This window comes from Homo sapiens, chromosome 8 (genome assembly GCF_000001405.40).
Source record: "Homo sapiens chromosome 8, GRCh38.p14 Primary Assembly".
Classification (NCBI taxonomy): Eukaryota; Metazoa; Chordata; class Mammalia; order Primates; family Hominidae; genus Homo; species Homo sapiens.
In genome coordinates this window covers 130,425,944-130,445,173 of record NC_000008.11, presented here as the reverse complement: position 1 = coordinate 130,445,173, position 19,230 = coordinate 130,425,944, and the positions used below count along the sequence as shown (strand labels likewise).

Below are 19,230 nucleotides of genomic sequence, written 5' to 3'. Positions count from 1 at the left end.
GACGGCAGCTACAGTGGGCCTGGAGCAGGACCCTGGGACTCCTGGTGCCCAGCTCAGAGCTGTCCTACTGCTTCTGGCCACGGAGAGAGAATTGCAGAAAAGGAACAATGCTGGGTCTAAAACTGGTATCTGTTCCTTACTTGGAGTAAACGAGCTGGTACCCAACTTTCAGTTCCCAGCAGGTTCATTTCAGGCTTCTGTTTTCGCTCATGAGCATGTTGTTCCCTCTTCAAAGTCTGATTGGGTTTCAAAGGAATCTGAAACACTTACAGCAAAACCACCAAGCTGCATCCTCCAGGTAGACACCCCCGAAATGTGGCATTTCCGTGGGAAACCACAATGAATCACTCATTGGCTGCCCGACCTCTCTGCCCAGTCAGAGATTGATTTTGGTTTTCCCAAACTTTGTAAATCCGCTCCAGACTGTTTAACAACCCCCACTCCCCACTACACCCAGACTCTCAGATTAGGAGCAAAATCCCAAATTTTGTGAGGTTTTCTGTTTCGGATTTCACCAGAAGGGGGTCTGCCACAGCCACTAACCATTTCCTCTGCAGAGAGCCGTTTCTGAAATGCTGCAAAGAAAAACAATCACCCAATGATTAGGAGGGAAATTAAGTTCTAAAGAAAGACTACTGTCTCTGACTTTGAAAGTAGACATAGATATGCACAATATACATCCCACAAATTAAAATCCTCCTTTCTCTGATGTCTTTTAATGGTAATAATAAGGACAAGCATGGCTATCATTTATTTGGGCGTTTCCAATGTGCCAGTCCCTGTCTAAACATTCAGCTTCCAGATCAAACCTATGAGGGTGGAATTAACATCCATTTCATAAATGGAAACTGAGGCTCAGGAAAGTTGAGCGAGTTACTCAAGGTAACATGAGTAGAAAAAAGGCCATATTCCAACCGGACACAGAGCCTGCAGCCCACACAATTACTCTCCATACTGTTCCTATACTATCCTGACTGGGAAGGTCCTGTTCCCTTGGCACTGGGCAAAAATAAAATTATAAGAGCAGAGAGGAAGTGGTGAAAGGGGGCAGCCTGGTGAAATCATTCCTTTACTGAAAATAGGGGTAACGGCCAGGACAGTGCAGGTCCATCCTCTGCAGATGGAAGACAGGCACGTCCTTTGCCGCTGTCCCGGCCTTAGAAAGGCACCTTCCGCGTCCAGGGTTTTCTGTGGATAAATCCCACCCCTTCCACCTCAGGCGGGGAGGAGGCCGGCCGGCCGGGGCATGGGGCGGAAGGCGAAGGACGCCCGACCCCGGCCGAGGTCTGGGGCCCCTCCCACGCCCCCCTCGTGGCTGCCGGCGGGCCAAGGGTTAAGCGAGGCGGGAGCCCCCGGCGCGGAGCGGCTCGGGGCCGGGAATGCTTAGTCAGGATTCCGATTTCCTGTCGAAGTGTTTGGATTTCCTGAAACCCGCGCCCTCCGCCGCCGAGCGGGATCGTGCGAGCCGCTCGCGTCGCCGCGGCCTCCTCCCCCTCGGCACATGGTCGCCCGCCCCTTCCTGCGCCGCGCTCGGCTCCCGCGCCTCGCCTGGCCTGGCCGCTGCCGCGGGCGAGCACTGTGCGCTGGGCAGCCCCGGGCCCGCGCCTCCCGCCCAGCCGGCGCTTCCCGGTCGCAGTTCGCTTTCCCACCCGAGAGCCGCGAGCGCCCGGCCGAACCCGCGATGGAATAATGCCCAGCGGCCCGCCAGGTCCCGGTGAGTTGCGGGGCGCTCGGGCGCGCTCGGCGGGGCCGGGCGGAGTCGCCCACAGTCGCGGGCGCCCCCTGCCCAGTCTCTCGCGCGAAGAAGGGCGCCGGGACGGGGCGCGGGGCGGGCTCCCGGCTCCTCTCGCAGCGGGGTGTCCTTCTCCGCGGGGAGGGCGCCGGCCCTGGGCTGGGGCGTGTGCGGGACGCGCGGCCAGGCTCTGCGGGGCCGGGCGAGGCCGCCCGGTGGGGGGGGGAGGTCTCCTCGCCTCCAGCTCGGGAGAGGGGGCCCCTGCAGTGGGGCCGGGGACGGGGCCCGCCCTGGGGGGTTTCGCGTCCCCCTCCGGGGGAGGGCCCGGGACGACGTGCTTGGCGGCCCGGACCCCGCCGATGGGGCGCCCTCCCGGCATTGTCTCTGGTGCAGCCGAGGAAAGTTCCCCGCGGCCCCCGGCCCCTACCCGGACCCGGCGCTGCTTGGCAGGCCCCAGGCCACTTGCCTAAAGCAAAAGAAGAGAAACGAAAGGGAAGGGGGTGGGGGGAGTCCTACTTGGAGCTTGGGGTTGGCTCCTGGGCGGACCGTGAAGTGGCTTGTGTTTTCTGCTTGTACCATTTTGGGACCTGCTGCGTTTTCTGAGAGCGACATGAAGTTTCAAAGAAAAAAGAAACTTGCCGGTGTCCGGTTTTCTGCGGTTTGATACATCCCAAGAGGTTCATCTTGGGCACTTCTAAAGCAGTTTCCTTTAATAATGTGGTTTTCCAGTAGCTCAGGGAGAAGGATGGTCAACTGCAGACCATCATCGTTAACTTGACCTCAACTTTACCTGTACTCGTCAGGAAAGCAAAAGAACTTTCTCTCGCATTTTCCCCTGTCTACTCTGTTAGGTTATCTTGGCGTGATTGATTCTGGGATGACATCAGGACCTGGATTGCTGAGTAATGTTTTGGGATTGTAAAAGCTTATCAGTTTTTAGGCCAGGGTTATCTGTATTGCAACCTTCATCCCAAAGCCTTTCTGTTTTGCAATTGTAGCGCGGCCAGATAGCTTTAAGAAAATGCGGGTCTTCTGGAAACACCCAGTGAACAGTTTGGAAAGAAAAAGATCTTTGAGAACAACTGATTCACCCCCTTCAGAGAAGGCCCAGAAAGGTGACCTGACTTGCCCAAGATCACATGGCCAGGAGTAGTTTCCACTTCTTCAGGCTCAGTCCCATGCCCCTTCTGTGTTAGATTTTGATCTGTTAGCCATGAAACAGATTTGGAAACGTCTTCTTTGCGTCACAGCCTTCACCACTTTAGTGCCTTCTCTTCTGTCCTGTTAATGCTGCTATTTTTGAGATATGCACTTATTTCAAACTGCATATTTTGAGATAGGGAGTTAAAAAAAACAAAAATCACCTAACGCCACTAAGTGGATTTGGAGATTCAGCTACCAAATGGATTTGAAGTATAAAATGAGTGGCTTATTATACGGGGAATTACTTTCCCTATCCCATTCTTTTGTGCAAAATAGAAACTCCCAGGTCCAAAAAAGGGCAGTATCTTAGCACATAATGTACCCTCTGATGTTCTCTAGACTTGATTTTCAGCCCTCCTGTTTCTTGTGAGCTAAGCAGCCCATCTATTTTTCTCATGAGAGCTCTGAATGGCTGGTTTTTCATTTTTAGTATGTGATAATGTTGGAGAGAAAGGACTTTTCGCAAGCTTGCCATTTGGTGAGGGAAATTGAAATTCTCTACACCTCCCCAGTCCTCACCAGCCACAGCGAGCCAGATTTTCAAAATCAGTGCAAGCCTGGCAGGCCCAAAGATGAATGTGTGCATTCAGATTGAGCCCTCCCTTGTGAAGACTCACGTCCCAGCTGGCATCTCCATGCTGCACCTAGGTGACTGAAGTCTAGAGGAAAGAAGGGAACCCCAGTTAGCTAGGACAGTGTTGTTCCTGCCATTTCCCCACCTAGGTCTCAGCCGTATTTGGATCCTGCTGCTCGGTTCTCATTTTTCCCTGCCGTTTTTTCACCCAACCACTGCTGTATCTGGCATGGGCTCCGGAAGGTCTTTTCTAGGAGACTGCATGAGTGATCCCCACGTGAGCAATAGTAACAGTCACCCCATTTATTAAGCACTTGCTGTATGCCCTAGACATGTTACCTCCTAAGAAGTCCTAAGGAGGAGCGGAAACTTCTTGGGGAGCCTTGCCCAGAAAGGACAGCACATCTCAGATTTATCTGGAATCGAGTTTTTCTTTCATGCATCCAGTGAAACATTTGCTAAGTGGCTTCCCTGTGGGAGGTGCCAGTCCTGCAAAGATGAATAGGACCCTGTTCTCAAGGCCTTCTATTTCCAGCCTCATCTTTCAATGTCAGCCTCACACTTTCTCTTTTAATTCATCAATTGAACAACCATGCATTGAGCACCTGCGCCATGCTAAGCCCTGTGTGGAGTCCTGATGATACAGTGGTGGACGAAATAGACCTGGCACTGCCCTTCTGGAGCTTGCATTCCTCTGGAGGAGATGAGCAACAAGGAAGAAGCAGAAGAAACAACCTCTAACAGATGAGTGATTCCTTGTTATCAAGGAAACAAACCTGGGACCAAAGTAGGGGCTGGTGGCACAAGTTGGTCCTAGTTTTGGAAGGGAAAGCCTTTCTGAGATTGGAAAATGGAGAAGGAACTGGCCAGGCAGAGAGATTGCAGGGGAGGGCCTTCCAGGCAGAGGGATGGGAATGTGCAAAGTTGACTATGCACAAAAGAGCTTGGTGTATTCCAAGGAGTGAGGGAAGGCAGGGCTAGAGTGTAAGGGAGAGATGGGGGGAATGGCGCAAGGTGAGGTTTGAGAGGGAAGCAGGGACGAGATCACACAGCCGATTCTAAGCCATGCTGGGGAGAGTCCCTCCACCCAGTACAAAGGGAAGCTTTGGTGAGTTTAAGCTCAGCAGTGATATCTGATTGACTCTTTTTTTTTTTTTTTTGACAGAGTCTAGGTCTGTTGCCCAGTCTGGAGTGCAGTGGCATGATCTCAGCTCACTGCAACCTCTGCCTCCTGGGTTCAGGTGATTCTCCTGCCTCAGCCTCCTGAGTAGCTGGGATGATAGGCATGCACCACCACACCTGGCTAATTTTTATATTTTTAGTAGAGACGGGGTTTCGCCGTGTTGATCAGGATGGTCTCAAACTCCTGACCTCAGGTGAGCGACCATGGCCAGCCTGATGGACATTTTTGAGATTGCTTTGACTGCTTTTATGAAAAGTGGATGGATCATAGGGGGCAAAGTGTAGAAGCAGGAAGACCACTTAGGAGGAAAGAGGATGGTGGCTTAGAACTGGACAGCAGCAATGGAGGTAGAGAGAAGTGGGAGGAGCCTACTTAGATCTTGGAGATAGCATTGATGAGATCTGGTGATAGATTACATTGGAATGAGGCAAGGGAAAGGACTCAAGGGTGACTCCTGGGGTTCTGGCTTGAACAGCTGGGTGTATGGTGGCGTTGTTGTGGGAGACAGGAAGACTAGGAGGATTATGCTCATGGAGAAAATCAAGTTCTGTATCAGCCATCCTAAATTTGAGATGTCTAGGAGGCATCCTGTGGAGATTTCAGGCAGGCAGGAGGCCTGGACCTCCGAGGAGACTTACAGGCTAGAGACATTATTACCAGCCTGCTGTGGAGCTGCCAGAGTGCTTGCCGGCACATGCCCTGTGTTTCATTTCCCTGAGTGTCTGCTTACGTTCTTCCCCCTGCGGGGGATGCTCTTCCTCTCTCCCAGGCTAATTGCTACTCATCTTTAAAAAGCACCTGTGTCTTTATCTCCTCGAAGATGCTTTTAACTCCCTCCCCTACTCTTAAGTCCCTGTGTTTACCTTCATTGTGTGTTCAACTGAAGTTACCCTTTTTTTTTTAATATCTTATGTGAATGAAACACTTGGTGCTGGCCTTACCAGATAATAAGTGCTCACAGTAAGGGTAAATTCGACAAATGTTAGCTATTATTATTATTATTGATGGGGGTGATAGACATATAAATAAAAATTGCATTACATTAGGGTAAGCATAATGATAGTGTATTAGTTTCTTATTGCTGCGGTAACAAATTACTCCAAACTTAGTGGTTTACATCATACAAGTTTACTATCTTACAGTTCTGGAGGTCAGAAGTCTAGAATGGATCTCACTGGGCTGAAATCAAGGTGTTAGCAGAGGATGTTACTCCTGGCAGCGCTGGGAAGAATTTGTTTCCTTGTCTTTTCCAGTATCAGGAGGCCACTTGCATATCTTGGCTTGTGGTTTCCTTCTTCCACCTCCAAAGCCGGCAGTGTTGGTCTTAATCCTTCTCAAGCTTCCATCTCTCTGATTCTCCCTTCTGGCATCTTCTTCCACCTTGAAGGACCCTTAAAGTGATTCCACTGGGCCACCTGTATAATCTAGGCTACTCTCCCTATTTTAAGGTCAACAGCTTAGCAACCTTGATTCCATCTGCAACCTTCATTTTCCATTGCCATGTAACTCATGGAACCTAATGTGTTCCCAGGTCCTGGGGATTAGGATGAGGATATCTTTGCAGCCTGGGAAAGAAGGGTGTTACGGGAGCTCTGGGGAGAGGTTCCTAACCCATGGGGAAGAGAGGGTCAGGGACATCTTACCGTGGCTGTAGTGATGCACTTGTGGGAGTCAGCCTCCACTGTGTCCTCACAGTCACTCCTTCGTCAGAGCTCTTCTCTGTGCCAGGCCTCCGTGGAGAGTTGGAGTTGAGGATTTATTTCACTGTGCATTCTTCAGCTGTCGGCCCGATTGTTCACTTTCAACCCAGGGACACTAATTTCTCACCCAGCCTCTTGAAAAAAATTAAATTTACCAACCCATGCAAACCCTCTACCAGCTCCCCGCCTCGTACCCCAAGTCCTCTCCCAGGAAGGGATGGGCAGGGTGTGAGCTGGGTCCTCTGACTTCAGAGTCTGCCCCCAGTCCATTTCCTAGCACAGCACGCATCCCTACAGTTGTTCCTTTTGTATGGCTAAAACCTTGTTCCAAAGCTGCAGCCAGGTCCCTAACCTCAGCCAGCCCTGTTCCCAGAGCAGGCCATTGGCCCCAGGAGAGGTCAGGAGGGAGTGTGTGGTTCGATTAGGACAGATCCGTCTGAGTCCTTAGGGGAAGAAGCAACTGGAGGGCCTGGCGCACTGGTGGCCCCATCTTCTGAGAGTAAAGGAAACACACCATGATGTGCTGTGTAGCCACGTTGCTGCGAGGGGTAATTAATACCAGATTTCTGAAGTCCTCTCAGTTATTTAGAGAAAATGGGCTCCTGTCCCAGATCCTCCCCAGAAACAGACGGTTTCTTGAGACCTTAAGCACTTTGGAGAGGCACATGAGCTCTCTTGGCCACCGACGAGCTGAGTTACAAAGCGACTGAGGGCGTCTGCTGCCTGGGGTCACCCTGCCAGCCCCTTCAGCTCCCATCTCTTGGAAATGCCACAAACTAAGCTTGTCTTGTAATATTTTTGGTGTTTCCTCTTCCTTCACTGCCCTAAGTCAGGAAGTGCGAAGGTGCACAGAGTTAGGAAAACAAAAGTAAGTATGTCCCTCCAGTGGCGGGATCCTGGTTGGAGCCTGGTTTGGGATAAAGAAGAGTGCCTGTCAGTACTTCCCCAGCTGTGGTGGGAGTTACGCAGAAGCCAGCTGGGGAGGATCAGCCGTGGGCACAACAGGAAGAAGGGCGTCAAGACAGCGCCCACCCGCGGCTTCTGGGGGATGTTGACATTTCCTCTTTCAAAACCAATCATGAATTTTTGGTCAAGGCTTCTGCCTCTGTAAAAACTTGTCCTGTGTGTAACAACACTGTGTGCCTATTTCATTGTAGTTAGTCTATCTATCTAAATAATTTCCTTTTGAGTAGAAATGTAAAAAGGGTGCCCAGGCATTCCATTATAGTTGTTCTCTCCTGAGACCTTGGGGGATGCAGGATGGCTCAGTGGAATGGTCGGTGGGTGGGAAAACCAGAAGATTCTGGGGTCTACTGTAGTCACCACCTGTCCTTCTCTTTTGCACTGACCATACTGACTTAACTGAGATAATGTAAGAAAAGCAGCCAGCACAAGGGTCTCGTAGATGGTAGCCGTTATTACAGCTGTCTTGCAGGGAAATGTGTTTGCTCATATAGTTCCTCACCTGTGAGCTGGGGCATCTTGAAGGGGATTGGGAACTGGGACTCTATGTTATTCCTCTTGGCCCTTTGTGCCCAGCACAGTGCCCAGCAAATGACAGGCACTGAACAAGGGGGCTGAGTCAGGTATATTGGCTTCAGCTGCTTAGCTGTGTTACCACATTTGTTGAACTTTTTTCATCGAGTTTTAATTTTTAATTTTTTTTTTTTTTTTTTTGAGATGAAATCTTGCTCTGTCGCCTAGGCTGGAGTGCAGTGGTGTGATTTTGGCTCACTGCAACTGCTCCCTCCCGGGTTCAAGTGATTCTCCTGCCTTAGCCTCCTGAGTAGCTGGGATTACAGGCATGTTCCACCACGCCTGGCTAATTTTTGTATTTTGTAGAGATGGGGTTTCACCATGTTGGCCAGGCTAGTCTTGAACTCCTGACCTTAGGTAATCCGCCTGCCTCAGCCTCCCAGAGTGCTGGGATCACAGTAAGCCACCACTCCCAGCCTAATTTTTTATATTATTATTATTTTAAGTGATAGGATCTTGCTGTGTTGCCCCAGCTGGAGTGCAGTGGCACAAATATAGCACACTGCAGCCTCTAATCCAGGGCTCAAGTGATCTTCCTGCCTCAGCCTCCCAAGTTGCTGGGATTACCAGCATGAGCCACCTTGCCTGGTTATTCATTTTTTATATTTGGATGGTCTCAAACTTCTGGCTTCAATGGCCAGGTGCACTGGCTCATGCATGTAAGCCCAACACTTTGGGAGGCCAAGGCGGGTGGATTGCTTGAGCCTCGGGAGTTTGAGACCAGCTTCGGCAACATGGTGAAACCTCACCTCTCCAAAAATAACAAAAAACAAATAACAAAAATTAGCCAGACATGGTGGTGCACTCCTGTAGTCCCAGCTACTCGGGAGGCTGACGTGGGAGGATTGTTTGAGCCCAGGGAGGTCGAGGCTGCAGTGAACCAAGATTGTGCCACTGCACTCCAGCCTGGGTGGCAGAACAAGACCATGTCTCAAAAGAAACCAAACTCCTAGTTTCAAGCGGACCTCCTGTCTCAGCCTTCCAAAGTACTAGGATTACAGGTGAGAGTTTATAATTTTAATGACTATACATTTTACTTTTAGAAATTCTTAGTTCTCTTTCAGTTCAGCCTGCCCTTCCATCCTTGGGTCCTTTTCTTTCCTTAGGGTTTCTGTTTTGTGTTTTATATCTTCATTTTAAATATACTAATGTTCTCTTTCACATTGCTCTAGGTTCGTTCTAGAGGAGCCAGTTCTCCCATTTGTTGTGTCTTCTGGTTTGGGGGCTTAGTGGCTCATGCCCCAGGAGAGCCCCACCTATCTTGGGTAGCAGAGATGTCTCCACAGAGCAGTATTATGCTTCAGCAAAGGCCCTAAGTGTTTCCTGGGTCCTGGAAAAGTTTCTATGGGAGCTTCTGGGCCCATATTTTGACCCCAGACCAATGGTGTATGGTGGATTCCACAGTCACACCCAGAGGCTTTAAAATCTGCACGGAAGCCTTTTTTCCTTACTCAGATCCTGCTTTCTTGCCATTTCTCTGGGCTGATGGGAGGAATAATTCAGGCCCTCATTTTAGAGATCAAATCATTTAGATTTTGATCTCTTTGAGGGTCCTGATTTTATAAAGGGGTCTCAGTTCTCCTCTAATTCTGGGAGACACCAAGTTGCAACCAGCTAGCTTAATATTCAGTCTTCTTTTTCAGACCAGGAAAAGAAAGAACATTTATAAAAATGTAAAAATTGCCTTTTTGGAGAAAGAACTGAAATCTGTAACAGAACATTAGTAATGAGACAATTGGATTCATATCAGCAAGCACTTACTGAGTGCGTCCTGTGCATTCACCTGCTGCAGTGCCTGCTGGAGGTGCAAGGGCAGTGGTAGGGCCCTGATCATTTCTGTAATCCCTAGTGCCTAGCACCAAGTCTAGCACAGGGAAGACAATAAACATTTCAGAAGAAAGAAAGAAAATGCATGTGCTTGAAGAATACGCATGCTGACGCAAAAGACTTACTAAGATGCTGAAGAATATCACTGAATTGAGACTCAGAAGTCCTGAATTCTAGTTTGGAATGGATACTGACTAGTTATGTGACCTCAAATAGTAGCCATTTATCCTCTGTGGACCTCAGTTCCCCACCTGCGTAAAGGGGATGGTAGCTTCTGTCCTGAGTCACCCTCCCCGCCAGGTTACAGCGCGATAATGAGTATGGAAGTGTAGGAGCCTCGGAGGGGTAAGGGGTCAGTCTTGTCTTCAAGGCCGATGGGACAGCGTGCCTTCCAGCAGCCAACGTGCCTTCTAGCAGCCATCTTGCCTTGGGAACTTCCTTCACCTCGCCCTGTAATCACTGTGGGCACTGGGTTTTCAGGGGATGGGCTGTAAGCATTTCAGGTCTTCAAAGCTTGTTCGAGCTAAGGGGCTATTGTTCGGTGTATGGTCAGTATTTGGGCACTGGGGAGCTGACCTGCTTCCTGTCTCATGTGATATCCTTTCCCCTAGAAGTTCCCTCAGGACCTCATCAATATGGGCCGAGCCGTCACAGAGAGCCGTTCTGGGATGGAATTTTTGCATGTCATTGCGTTTGTGATCTTTGACCCACTGTTCTTTGCGGCTCCTCCTCTGGCCAGTGGTTCTCATGACCCCTCCAGTGGGCTGTCCTTTGGCTAGGTCATTCTTTCCTGCCTAAGGTGACTTGGCGGGTGGAGGGTAGGAGCATTTGTCATGATGCTGTGGGAAAACCACTGGACTTGGAATCAATAGTGATAGCTATTATGTATTGCTCGTTAATATGTGTCATTACTGTTGTAAGCAGTTTTCCTCTATGAGCTCATTTAATCCTCATAATAACCCTATGAAATAGGCGCTATTTCTAACTCCCATTTTATATACGACGAACCTGAAATACGCAGAGCCTAGCTAACTTCCCTGAGGTCATATAGTTAGTAAGTGGCAAGATTTTTTTTTTCTTTTTTGAGACAAGGTCTCACTCTGTCTCCCAGGCTGTAGTGCAGTGGCGCTATGGCAGCTCACTGCATCCTTGCAATCCCAGGTTCAAGTAATCCTCCCAGGTTCAAGTGATCCTCCCACCTCAGCCTCCCTAATAGCTGGGGCCACAGGTGTGCGCCACCAGGCACAGTTAATTTTTGTATTTTTAGTAGAGATGGGGTTTTGCTGTGTTGCCCAAGTTGGTCTCGAACTCCTGGACTCAAGTGATCCACCTGCCTTGGCCTTCCATAGTGCTGGAATTGCAGGTGTGAGCCACCATGCTTGGCCCTTGTAATTGGCAAGATTTTAAGCAAGGCGATCTGTGTTCAATACCCATACTCTTGACCACGATACAATATTGCCTCTACAGACTTGAATTTTAATTCCACGCCTTAATTCTTCATGTGGCCTTGGAAGAGTCTGCTTTTAGCCTTTCTCTTAGCCTGCCTAAGCTTTAGTTTTCTAGTCTGTAAATTGTGAAAACTCTCACAGTTTTTTAAGGGTGTCAAATAAAGCAATATATAAGGAAAGTGGCTAAGCGAGTGCCTGGCACGTAACTGGTACTAAACAAAAATTAGTGGGTTTCAAAATGAGATAAGAATTCTCATTTGCATGATCAGTAGGGAGAAGAAGCATGAAAGAGTGAATTCACTTTTAAGAGTTTTCATTGCACAGATTTCCCTGCATATCCTGCTATATGCCAAGCACTTAGGATATGAAGATGAAAAATCAAAGTCCACCTGCTAGAATACCTTCCAGTTGAATAGAAGAGAAAGATATGTAACTGTTAATAATTTGGCACCAGTGTCACTCAACAGCATGGGAGAGTTACCAAGGAACAGTCATAGCTGTATAGGGAAGGGAGAGAGTCCTCCCAGTGGGGTAGTCAGAGAAAGCTTTGTGAAAGAGGTGTCTGGGCTTTACTCTTCCAAGATAGGCAGGATTTCCCTAAGTGAGGAGAGAAGGGAAGGGTATTCAAGGCTGAGAATAGCTGGATCGAAGGCTTTGTGGTAGGAATGTGCTGGCTATTTTTGGGGAGGTCTAAGGAAAATGTGTTCAAGGAGAAAGGTGAAACTCTTAGTTAAAATAAAATGGCATTTGGGGCTTCTGTCTGAAATGCAGTCATCCCTGCTACTTCCTATGCCTCCACTGATACAGAACTCCTGATCTAGAAAAGCAAACTATGGTGTCGTTTATAGACCTTCCCATAATAGCTGTTAGCAAGTTTCCTCTCGTAGGACAGTTACTTCCTCAGCCCTAAAATAGAATGGCAGCAGGGTGGAGATGTGGGATATTTGCAGTCTACACTCTGTTGAGCAGCATACTGCGGGGGCGAGTGAGCGACCAGGTGTAGCAGACAGTGGTTGCTTACCCAACATCTTTTCCCCTTCTCTTTTGCTGGCAGGACATTGATCTTCAGATGTCCACCCTCCAGTGGGTGAATCACTGGGTCCTATTCCCCTTGGCAGTGATTGGGTTAGGTGTGGGCAACTGACAGAGCTCTGGCCAGTGAAATATGAAGGGAAATTGCCTGGCAGTGGGGGTGAAGAAAGATTTTTCTGCATCTTAAAAAGAGACATGTAGGAAGAAAAAGCCCCTCTTCTTTTGTGGGACGTACTGGGGTTAGCATGTGATACCTGGAACCGTGGCAGCCATCTTGGGACCATGAGGGAGCCTAGCTTAGGGAGGATGTGTTGAGGGTGTCAGAGCAGAAAAATGGAAGGAATGAGACACCAAGCACCTACCTTTAGACTATTCTGATGGGAGTTTTCTGTTATTTGTAACTAAAAAACACCTTAATGAATGCACAGTGGGATGAACAACTCACATGGCATCTAGAAGATTCTGGGTTCACTACACTTTCCTCATTCACCCTAGGCTTTAGCCAACCACCCTGTTTGAATTCTCTTCCAAAATGAAGAACCTTTATACTTTCACAGTCTTGCTGTTCCCATCATCCAAAATGCCCTTTCCCTACCTTCCCCATCTGCCAAAAACCCAACTTATTATTTAAAGCATGGCTCAGGTGCACCATCTCTGAAAAGCCTTTCCCAGTCTTTACTATTGTGATTATTTTCTTCTTTGAGTACCCGTAACATTTGTCGTCCTCTTCTCAACCTCCCTTCCTCCCTCTCTCCCTTCTCCCCCTTTCCCCTCCTCCCCTCCTCCTGCCTCTGTTCCCCCATCTTCCTCCTTTCCTCCTCTTCCCTCTCCCCCTCTTCCCTTTCCTCCCCCTTCCCCCTCCCCCTCCTCCTTTCCTCCTCTCTCTTCCCCCACCTCATTTTCCCCCTCCTTCTCCTCCCCATTTTCCCCTTTCTCCTCCCTCTCCTTCTTTCCTCCCCTTCCCCTTCTTCCCCCTCCTCCTCCTTCCTCCTTTCCTCCTCCTCCTCTCCCTTCCTCTCTTCCTCCTCGCCATTTCCCCCTCCTTATCTTCCCCCTTTCCCCCTCCTACTCCTCCCTTTCCTCCTTTCCTCGTCTTCTTCCTCCTTCACCTCTCCCTACTCTTCCCCTTCTGTCTCTGTCTTTCTGTATTAAGTGCCTACCATTTGCCAGCTGTTGTGCTGCATACTCTGCTATCCTGGAACCTCTCATATGAATGGGGGCCAGACATGTCCAGATAATTATGAGCCAGCATGTTTAGTGTGGTCCTGCAGGAACATAACATGTAATGGGCACTTAGGAAGAGGTGCCTGACTCCACCTTGCAGGGAGGGTCAGAGAAGACTTGTTACAAGGTGTAATCCTTGAGCCGAATCTTAAATAACGAATAGGAACCAGCCAGTAAAGAATGGAAGGAAGGGAAGGAAATTCTAGGTGTAGGGAGCCTCAGCAAGGATGTGAATGGTACCAATAGCACAGTATGTGCTGGAAATTACAAGTGGTTCGTTATGGTTGGAACCTAACGTTTGAGGTAGGATGTGTTGAGGTCAGAGCAGGAGGCAGGAGCCATATCCTGGAGCTTGAACTTTATCTTGAAGCCGCTGAGGAACCACTGAAGGCTTAAGGCAGGGGGGTCATGTGATACTTGCCTGTTGGAAAGGTGACTCTGGCTACATTGGACTGAATAGATTAGGTGGTTGATGCCAGGGTCTGGAAGCAGGAAGGCCAGCTCTGATGCTCTTACAGGAGTCTGGGAGGGAAGATGGGGAGGCAGTAGGATTGGCTGGCATGGGGATCATTTGGAGGGGGGATGGGGAAGAGAGAGAGCCATGACACTGATTTCTGGCCAGTTGGCAAGGCTGAGTCATGTCTATGTCTCAAAACATTGTCACCTCCTCAGCCTCCTGATTCTTCTAGTGTGTGCGTCCCTTAGAGTGGTCAGTTCCTGGCTTCAGTGGGAAACTATCTGAGGGAGGCGCAAGTCTATGTCCTCCCTTCTCTCCGGTCTTCTCCTCCCACAGCTGCAGCACTTTGGCTGCTCCTTAAGTGGAACAGGAAGTGGAGCTGTGACATGTTTTTCCCGAAGTCCTTGCTTTCTAGGTCTGAGCTTGAGAAGAGAGAAGACTCCCTTCACGCCTGTCACTCATTGTCTTTCTTTCTTGCTCTTCTTCCAACCCAAACCAATTCTGAATACACCTTCCCAGTGTCTGCAGTCCAGCCCCTTCTGTCCATCCCACAGTTCCTGCCTCGGGTCAGTGTTCTGGGTGGTTTCTCTGGAATCATCCAACCCTCTCCTACCTCACTGCCCTCAGCCCATCCTCTGAGCTGCCTCAGGGAAATCTCCTTAAAACTTCAGATTGGGTCACCTTCCTGCTTAACAAGCTTCAGTCTCCATCCCCATGCCCAGGTGGTCAGGGTCAGAGGAAAGCAGCTGGACGTTTCAACTGCTCAGACCGAGGGTCAGCCCTGGCTCTCTGCTTACCCACTGAACGCCTTTAGACAAGTCACCCAACTTGCCAAACCTTCATTTCTTCAGCTGTGAAATGGAGATAACTTGCCTTACTGAGGGATGAGTGAGTAAAAAAATACATTAAAGTGCCATCCTAACACATACGTACGTACAAACACACAGGTTTTCTTTCCTCCTTGCCATTTTATTCATCTTGGTGAGTCCTTCATATCCACTTAGCAAACTGCCCATCCTGTAGTAGACCAGATGCTTAATTCATGTTTGATGAATGAATTATTCCTTTGTTCCTTTTTAGCTGAGAGTTTGACAATCTCTCTTTTGCTAAATTCGAGAAGCTTTTTTGAGTTGTCTTTGAGGTCCAGAAGGATCGGGGCCCTGGTGCTCAGGGGAGTTCATTTGGAGGAGGAAACGGAAGCTAAGACTTAGTCTCAGGCTTCCTGACTTCAAGCCGATGATCTTTCCATTGGCCACCTTGTAACTTCCTGGGCAATCAGGAGCCATCTACTGGGGCACGTTGCCCAGGCTCTGGGATGTATCATCATGAAATGAGTGGAGGCTGCCCTCCAGGCAGCTATTATAGAGAACAACAAATTGAGGAGTTTGCATAAGCAGGGCCACATGAATTAGTCAGCGAAGTATACATGCGTTATTCTTCAAAACTCATTTTTCCCAAAGAATCTTAATGGACAGAACGTGTGTGTGTTGCGGGGGAGTGGGGGTGTTCTCCTTCTGGAACAAGTTGAAAGTTGGTTGGGGTAAGTTAAGTTCAGTAGTGATATTTTAAACTTCCAGCTTGAAGAAAGTAATAGTGTTAAGTGTTTGCAGATGGTAATCACATGGGACCTGAAACAGAGTCTACAGAGGGTAATCATACACCAGAAACAACGCTGCTTCTGTGGTATGGATGGCTGGTAAGAGTTTGGATCCTGGACTTAGGTGTGGGTCCTAACTTGGCTTTTTACTGGCTACTTGCTGACTGTAAGCAAGTTTCAAACCTCTTTGAGCCTTAGTTTTGTTACCTGTCAAATGGAGAGAATAAGACTTTTGCCTCATAGGTTTTGTCAAGAGAACTATCTAAAGTGAGACATGGAGAACAGTGAGAGTGGTGCCTGGCACATGGAACTAGGGGGAGAGGAAATGTTAGCTATCCTGATGACAGTGGTGATGAAGATGACTGTTACAGGTTGAATTGTGTCCCTTCAAAAGATATCTTGAAGTACTAACCCCCAAAACCTCAGATTGTGTTTTTATTTACAAATAAGCTCTCCACAGAGGAAACAAAAATTAAAATGAAGTCATTAGGGCGAGCCTGGATCCAAAATGACTGGTGTCCTTATAAAGGAAATTAGGACCTAGAGGCAGATATGCACAGAGGGAAGACGATGTCAAGGCACACAGGGAGAAGACACCCCTGTGACTGCAGTGATGCAGCTACAATTCAGGGAACATAAAGGATTTCTGGCAACCACCACAAGCCAGGAAGAGGCAAGGAAGGATTCTCTCTGAGAAGAACCGGAGAGGGTGTGGCCCTGCTGATATATTGATTTTGGAATTCTAGCCTCCTGAATTGTGAGAGAATAAATTTCTGTTCTTTTAAGCCATCCAATTTTGGTACTTTTTAATGACAGCCCTAGAAAATTAATGCAATGATAATGATGGTGGTGGTGGTGGTGATGGTGATGATGATATGATGATGGTGGTAATGGGGATGATAATGGTGCTGCTGATGGTGGTGATGTTGGTAGTGATGATGATGATGGTGGTAGTGATGATGATGGTGGTAGTTCTGATGGTGATGATGATGGTGGGGGGATGGTGATGATGGTGGTGATGATGACAGTGGTGGTGGTGGTGGTGATGATGATGGTGATAGTGGTGATGATGGAGTTGATGATGATGATGGTGGTGATGATGGTGGTAGTTATATGATGGTGATGATAGTGGTGCTGCTGCCACTGCTGATGGTGGTGATGGTGATGGTGATGAAGATGGTGGTGGTGGTGGTGATGATGATGGTGATAATGATGGTGGTGGTGGTGATGATGATGATGGTGATGGTGGTGGTGATTTGGCATTTGGCCTAAAGACTCACCCAGAAGGTGGCCACATGTGTCTGACTGTAGATAGTCCTGTGGCTTTAATTTAGCGAGCACTGGCATGAATATTCCTTCCAATTTTATATTTTAGACATGCCTCCAGTGGCATTTTTTGGGAACTTCGTTGGTATTATACTAGGAGCAGGTGATTCAAAGTAAATATTCCCAGTCTAGAGAGTGAGATGGACACTGAAGAGGGACAGTTCCTCAAGAGGTGAAGTGACGTTTGATTCACTGCATGACTGTGTGGGAAAAGGGAATCCCCAAAGTTCTCTCAGATGGTGGCCCATGAGTCACCATGTAGACAATGGTGGGGCGGGTGCTTTGTGGCCAAGTGTAGAGACTTGGAGAAGGATTGGAGAAGAGGTTGATGTGGTAGGATGTGGAAGGGATGGGAGCCAGGGGCTTAAGATACAGGGGCACAGTGAGCAGAGACTAGATTGAAATTGAGAAGAAGGTAGGTCTTAATCCTGCCACCAGGAAGATGAGATTTGTGAGTTGTGCTTTAGAAACATCCCTCTGTTGGGGCTCAGCTGTACCTCCTTCACCTCCAGGTTGTGTTGGCCTCCCTGTGCATTGCATTGAGAGGATATTCAAACTGAAGGGGAGAAGCACGGATTCTGAAGGATGAAAAAGGAACAATGTGAGTTATTCCATGTCTTAGAGATAGTGTGGTATGACAGAGAGAGTGTAAACTCTGGTATCACATAGTCCTGTGTTGGAGTCCTTCATGGAATCTGGCTCTGTCCCTTGCTTGGTGACCTTCGGCACCTTTTTTCTGAGCCTCAGTTTCCTCTCCTTTCCACTTGCGCTGCCAATACCCCCTGCAGAGTATGGTGGAGATTAAATTGGGATTTTATAGGCCAAGTATGTGGCATCTGAGAGGCCCTGAATAAAAGTCAGTTGTTCTACACTGAACCCTGTCCACATGTGGGATTCTCGGCAAGGGCTTATTGGTGCTTGTGAAACCTAATTAATCAGAGGTGGGAAGAGAGAGCTGGCCTTTGGAAGGGCTTGCATTTCATAGGAGTAAACACACTGTCAATATCAAGAGGAGCTGAGTCCCTGGGAGGAAGGGGTGAGACATGGTGGCTCCTGGGAGGCCATGATAACTCTTACTGGCAGGTATAACCATGAAGTCCCCATTGCTCTCCGGTTCTTTAAAATATCAAGAAAAGCAGGTAAAGGCTTCTCAGCTCTGGATGGCTTAAAAATAGCCACTGAACAGAGTGGCCAAGCTGTTTTCCCCATGACCTGGCACCTGAAGTCCCCCTTCCCACCCACTCCTGCTCTGCCGTCTCTGCCCAGTAATGACTCCTCATGTATCCTCATCCTAGACACTCCAGCTAGGAACCTTGATATTTATTCCATGCATATTTGTTTGCATTTACATTGCATGCCGGTGGTATTCTAGGGGCGGGACAACAGTAGCAAACATGACAGAGAAAAATCCCTATCCTCATGGACTTTACATTCCAGTGGGGCAACAGATAGCAAACAAACATGAAACGGATGGTGTGTGAGACGACAAATAGTCCTTATGGAAGAAAAATCATCTGGAGAGGAGGCTGGGGCATGCTGGGGAGGGTGTGCATTGTTAAATGGGGTGTTCAAGGAGGCTTTCCCTGAGAATGTGACACTAAGCAAAGACCCAAAGGAGCTGAGGGAGTGAGCACACGGCAGTTTGGGGAGAAACGATTCCTAGGCACAGGGCCTGCCCCATGCAGAGACCCTGATAACTGCATGCATGGCACATTAAAGGTACCTCAAGGAAGCCAGTGTGGCTGGAGTGGAGTAAGTGACAAGAAAGTTGGTGCAGGAAAAGGTTGATGGGGTGGGGATGAGGGCTTAACCTTGCTGGGCATTTTGTGGACTTTAGCTTTTGCTCTGAATGACAAAAGCAGCTCTTGGAGGGTTGTGAGTGGAAGAATGATATGAGCTTGGCTTACCCTTTTTTTTTTTTTCCTAACCAGTGTATTAGTTTATGCTCACACTGCTATAAAGAACTACTTGAGACTGGATAATTTATAAAGAAAAGAGGTTTAATCAGCACATGGTTCTGCAGGCTGTACAGGCTTCTGCTTCTGGGGAGGCCTCAGGAAACTTACAATTATGGTAGAAGGCGAAGGGGAAGCAGGTACATCTTACATGGCGGAGCAGGAGAAAGAGAGAGAGAGGAGGAAGCTGTCACACACTTTTAAACAAGCGGATCTCGGGAGAGTTTATCATGAGACAGCACTAGGGGGATGGTGCTAAACCATTAGAAACACCTTTCATGATTCAATCACCTCCCACAAGGCCCCTCCTCCGACACTGGGAATTACAGTTCTACCTGAGATTTGGGTGGGGACACAGATCCAAACCATATCAAGCAGTATTTGCTGTCTGCAAATGCTTAATGCTGGTGAGAGTGGAAGCAGCGGCAGTGGTGGG

At 48.6% G+C, this 19,230-nt stretch overlaps 1 protein-coding gene across 13 annotated transcripts in view, besides 4 other annotated features; it reads left to right on the top strand.

The window, feature by feature from the left end:
• Positions 1,416-1,515: a silencer, noted in NCBI's record as "silent region_19554". NCBI's record gives its function as "represses an Ori minimal core promoter by ATAC-STARR-seq in GM12878 lymphoblastoid cells {active_cell/tissue: GM12878}" and the evidence as "EXISTENCE:reporter gene assay evidence [ECO:0000049][PMID:35858748]".
• Positions 1,500-19,230, top strand: part of ASAP1 (ArfGAP with SH3 domain, ankyrin repeat and PH domain 1) — a 391,571-nt gene continuing 373,840 nt past the window's right edge. For 8 of the 13 annotated variants that reach the window (XM_047421810.1, XM_047421806.1, XM_017013468.2 and 5 more), the window contains exon 1: positions 1,500-1,714. The gene's annotated coding sequence lies outside the window, so the exon portion shown is untranslated. Of the gene's footprint in view, positions 1,715-4,831; positions 4,886-17,351; positions 17,441-19,230 lie in introns of those variants that run through there. The other 5 variants (XM_047421804.1, XM_047421800.1, XM_047421799.1 and 2 more) reach the window with 3 other exon arrangements.
• Positions 1,556-1,645: a silencer, noted in NCBI's record as "silent region_19553". NCBI's record gives its function as "represses an Ori minimal core promoter by ATAC-STARR-seq in GM12878 lymphoblastoid cells {active_cell/tissue: GM12878}" and the evidence as "EXISTENCE:reporter gene assay evidence [ECO:0000049][PMID:35858748]".
• Positions 1,656-1,815: a silencer, noted in NCBI's record as "silent region_19552". NCBI's record gives its function as "represses an Ori minimal core promoter by ATAC-STARR-seq in GM12878 lymphoblastoid cells {active_cell/tissue: GM12878}" and the evidence as "EXISTENCE:reporter gene assay evidence [ECO:0000049][PMID:35858748]".
• Positions 1,866-1,945: a silencer, noted in NCBI's record as "silent region_19551". NCBI's record gives its function as "represses an Ori minimal core promoter by ATAC-STARR-seq in GM12878 lymphoblastoid cells {active_cell/tissue: GM12878}" and the evidence as "EXISTENCE:reporter gene assay evidence [ECO:0000049][PMID:35858748]".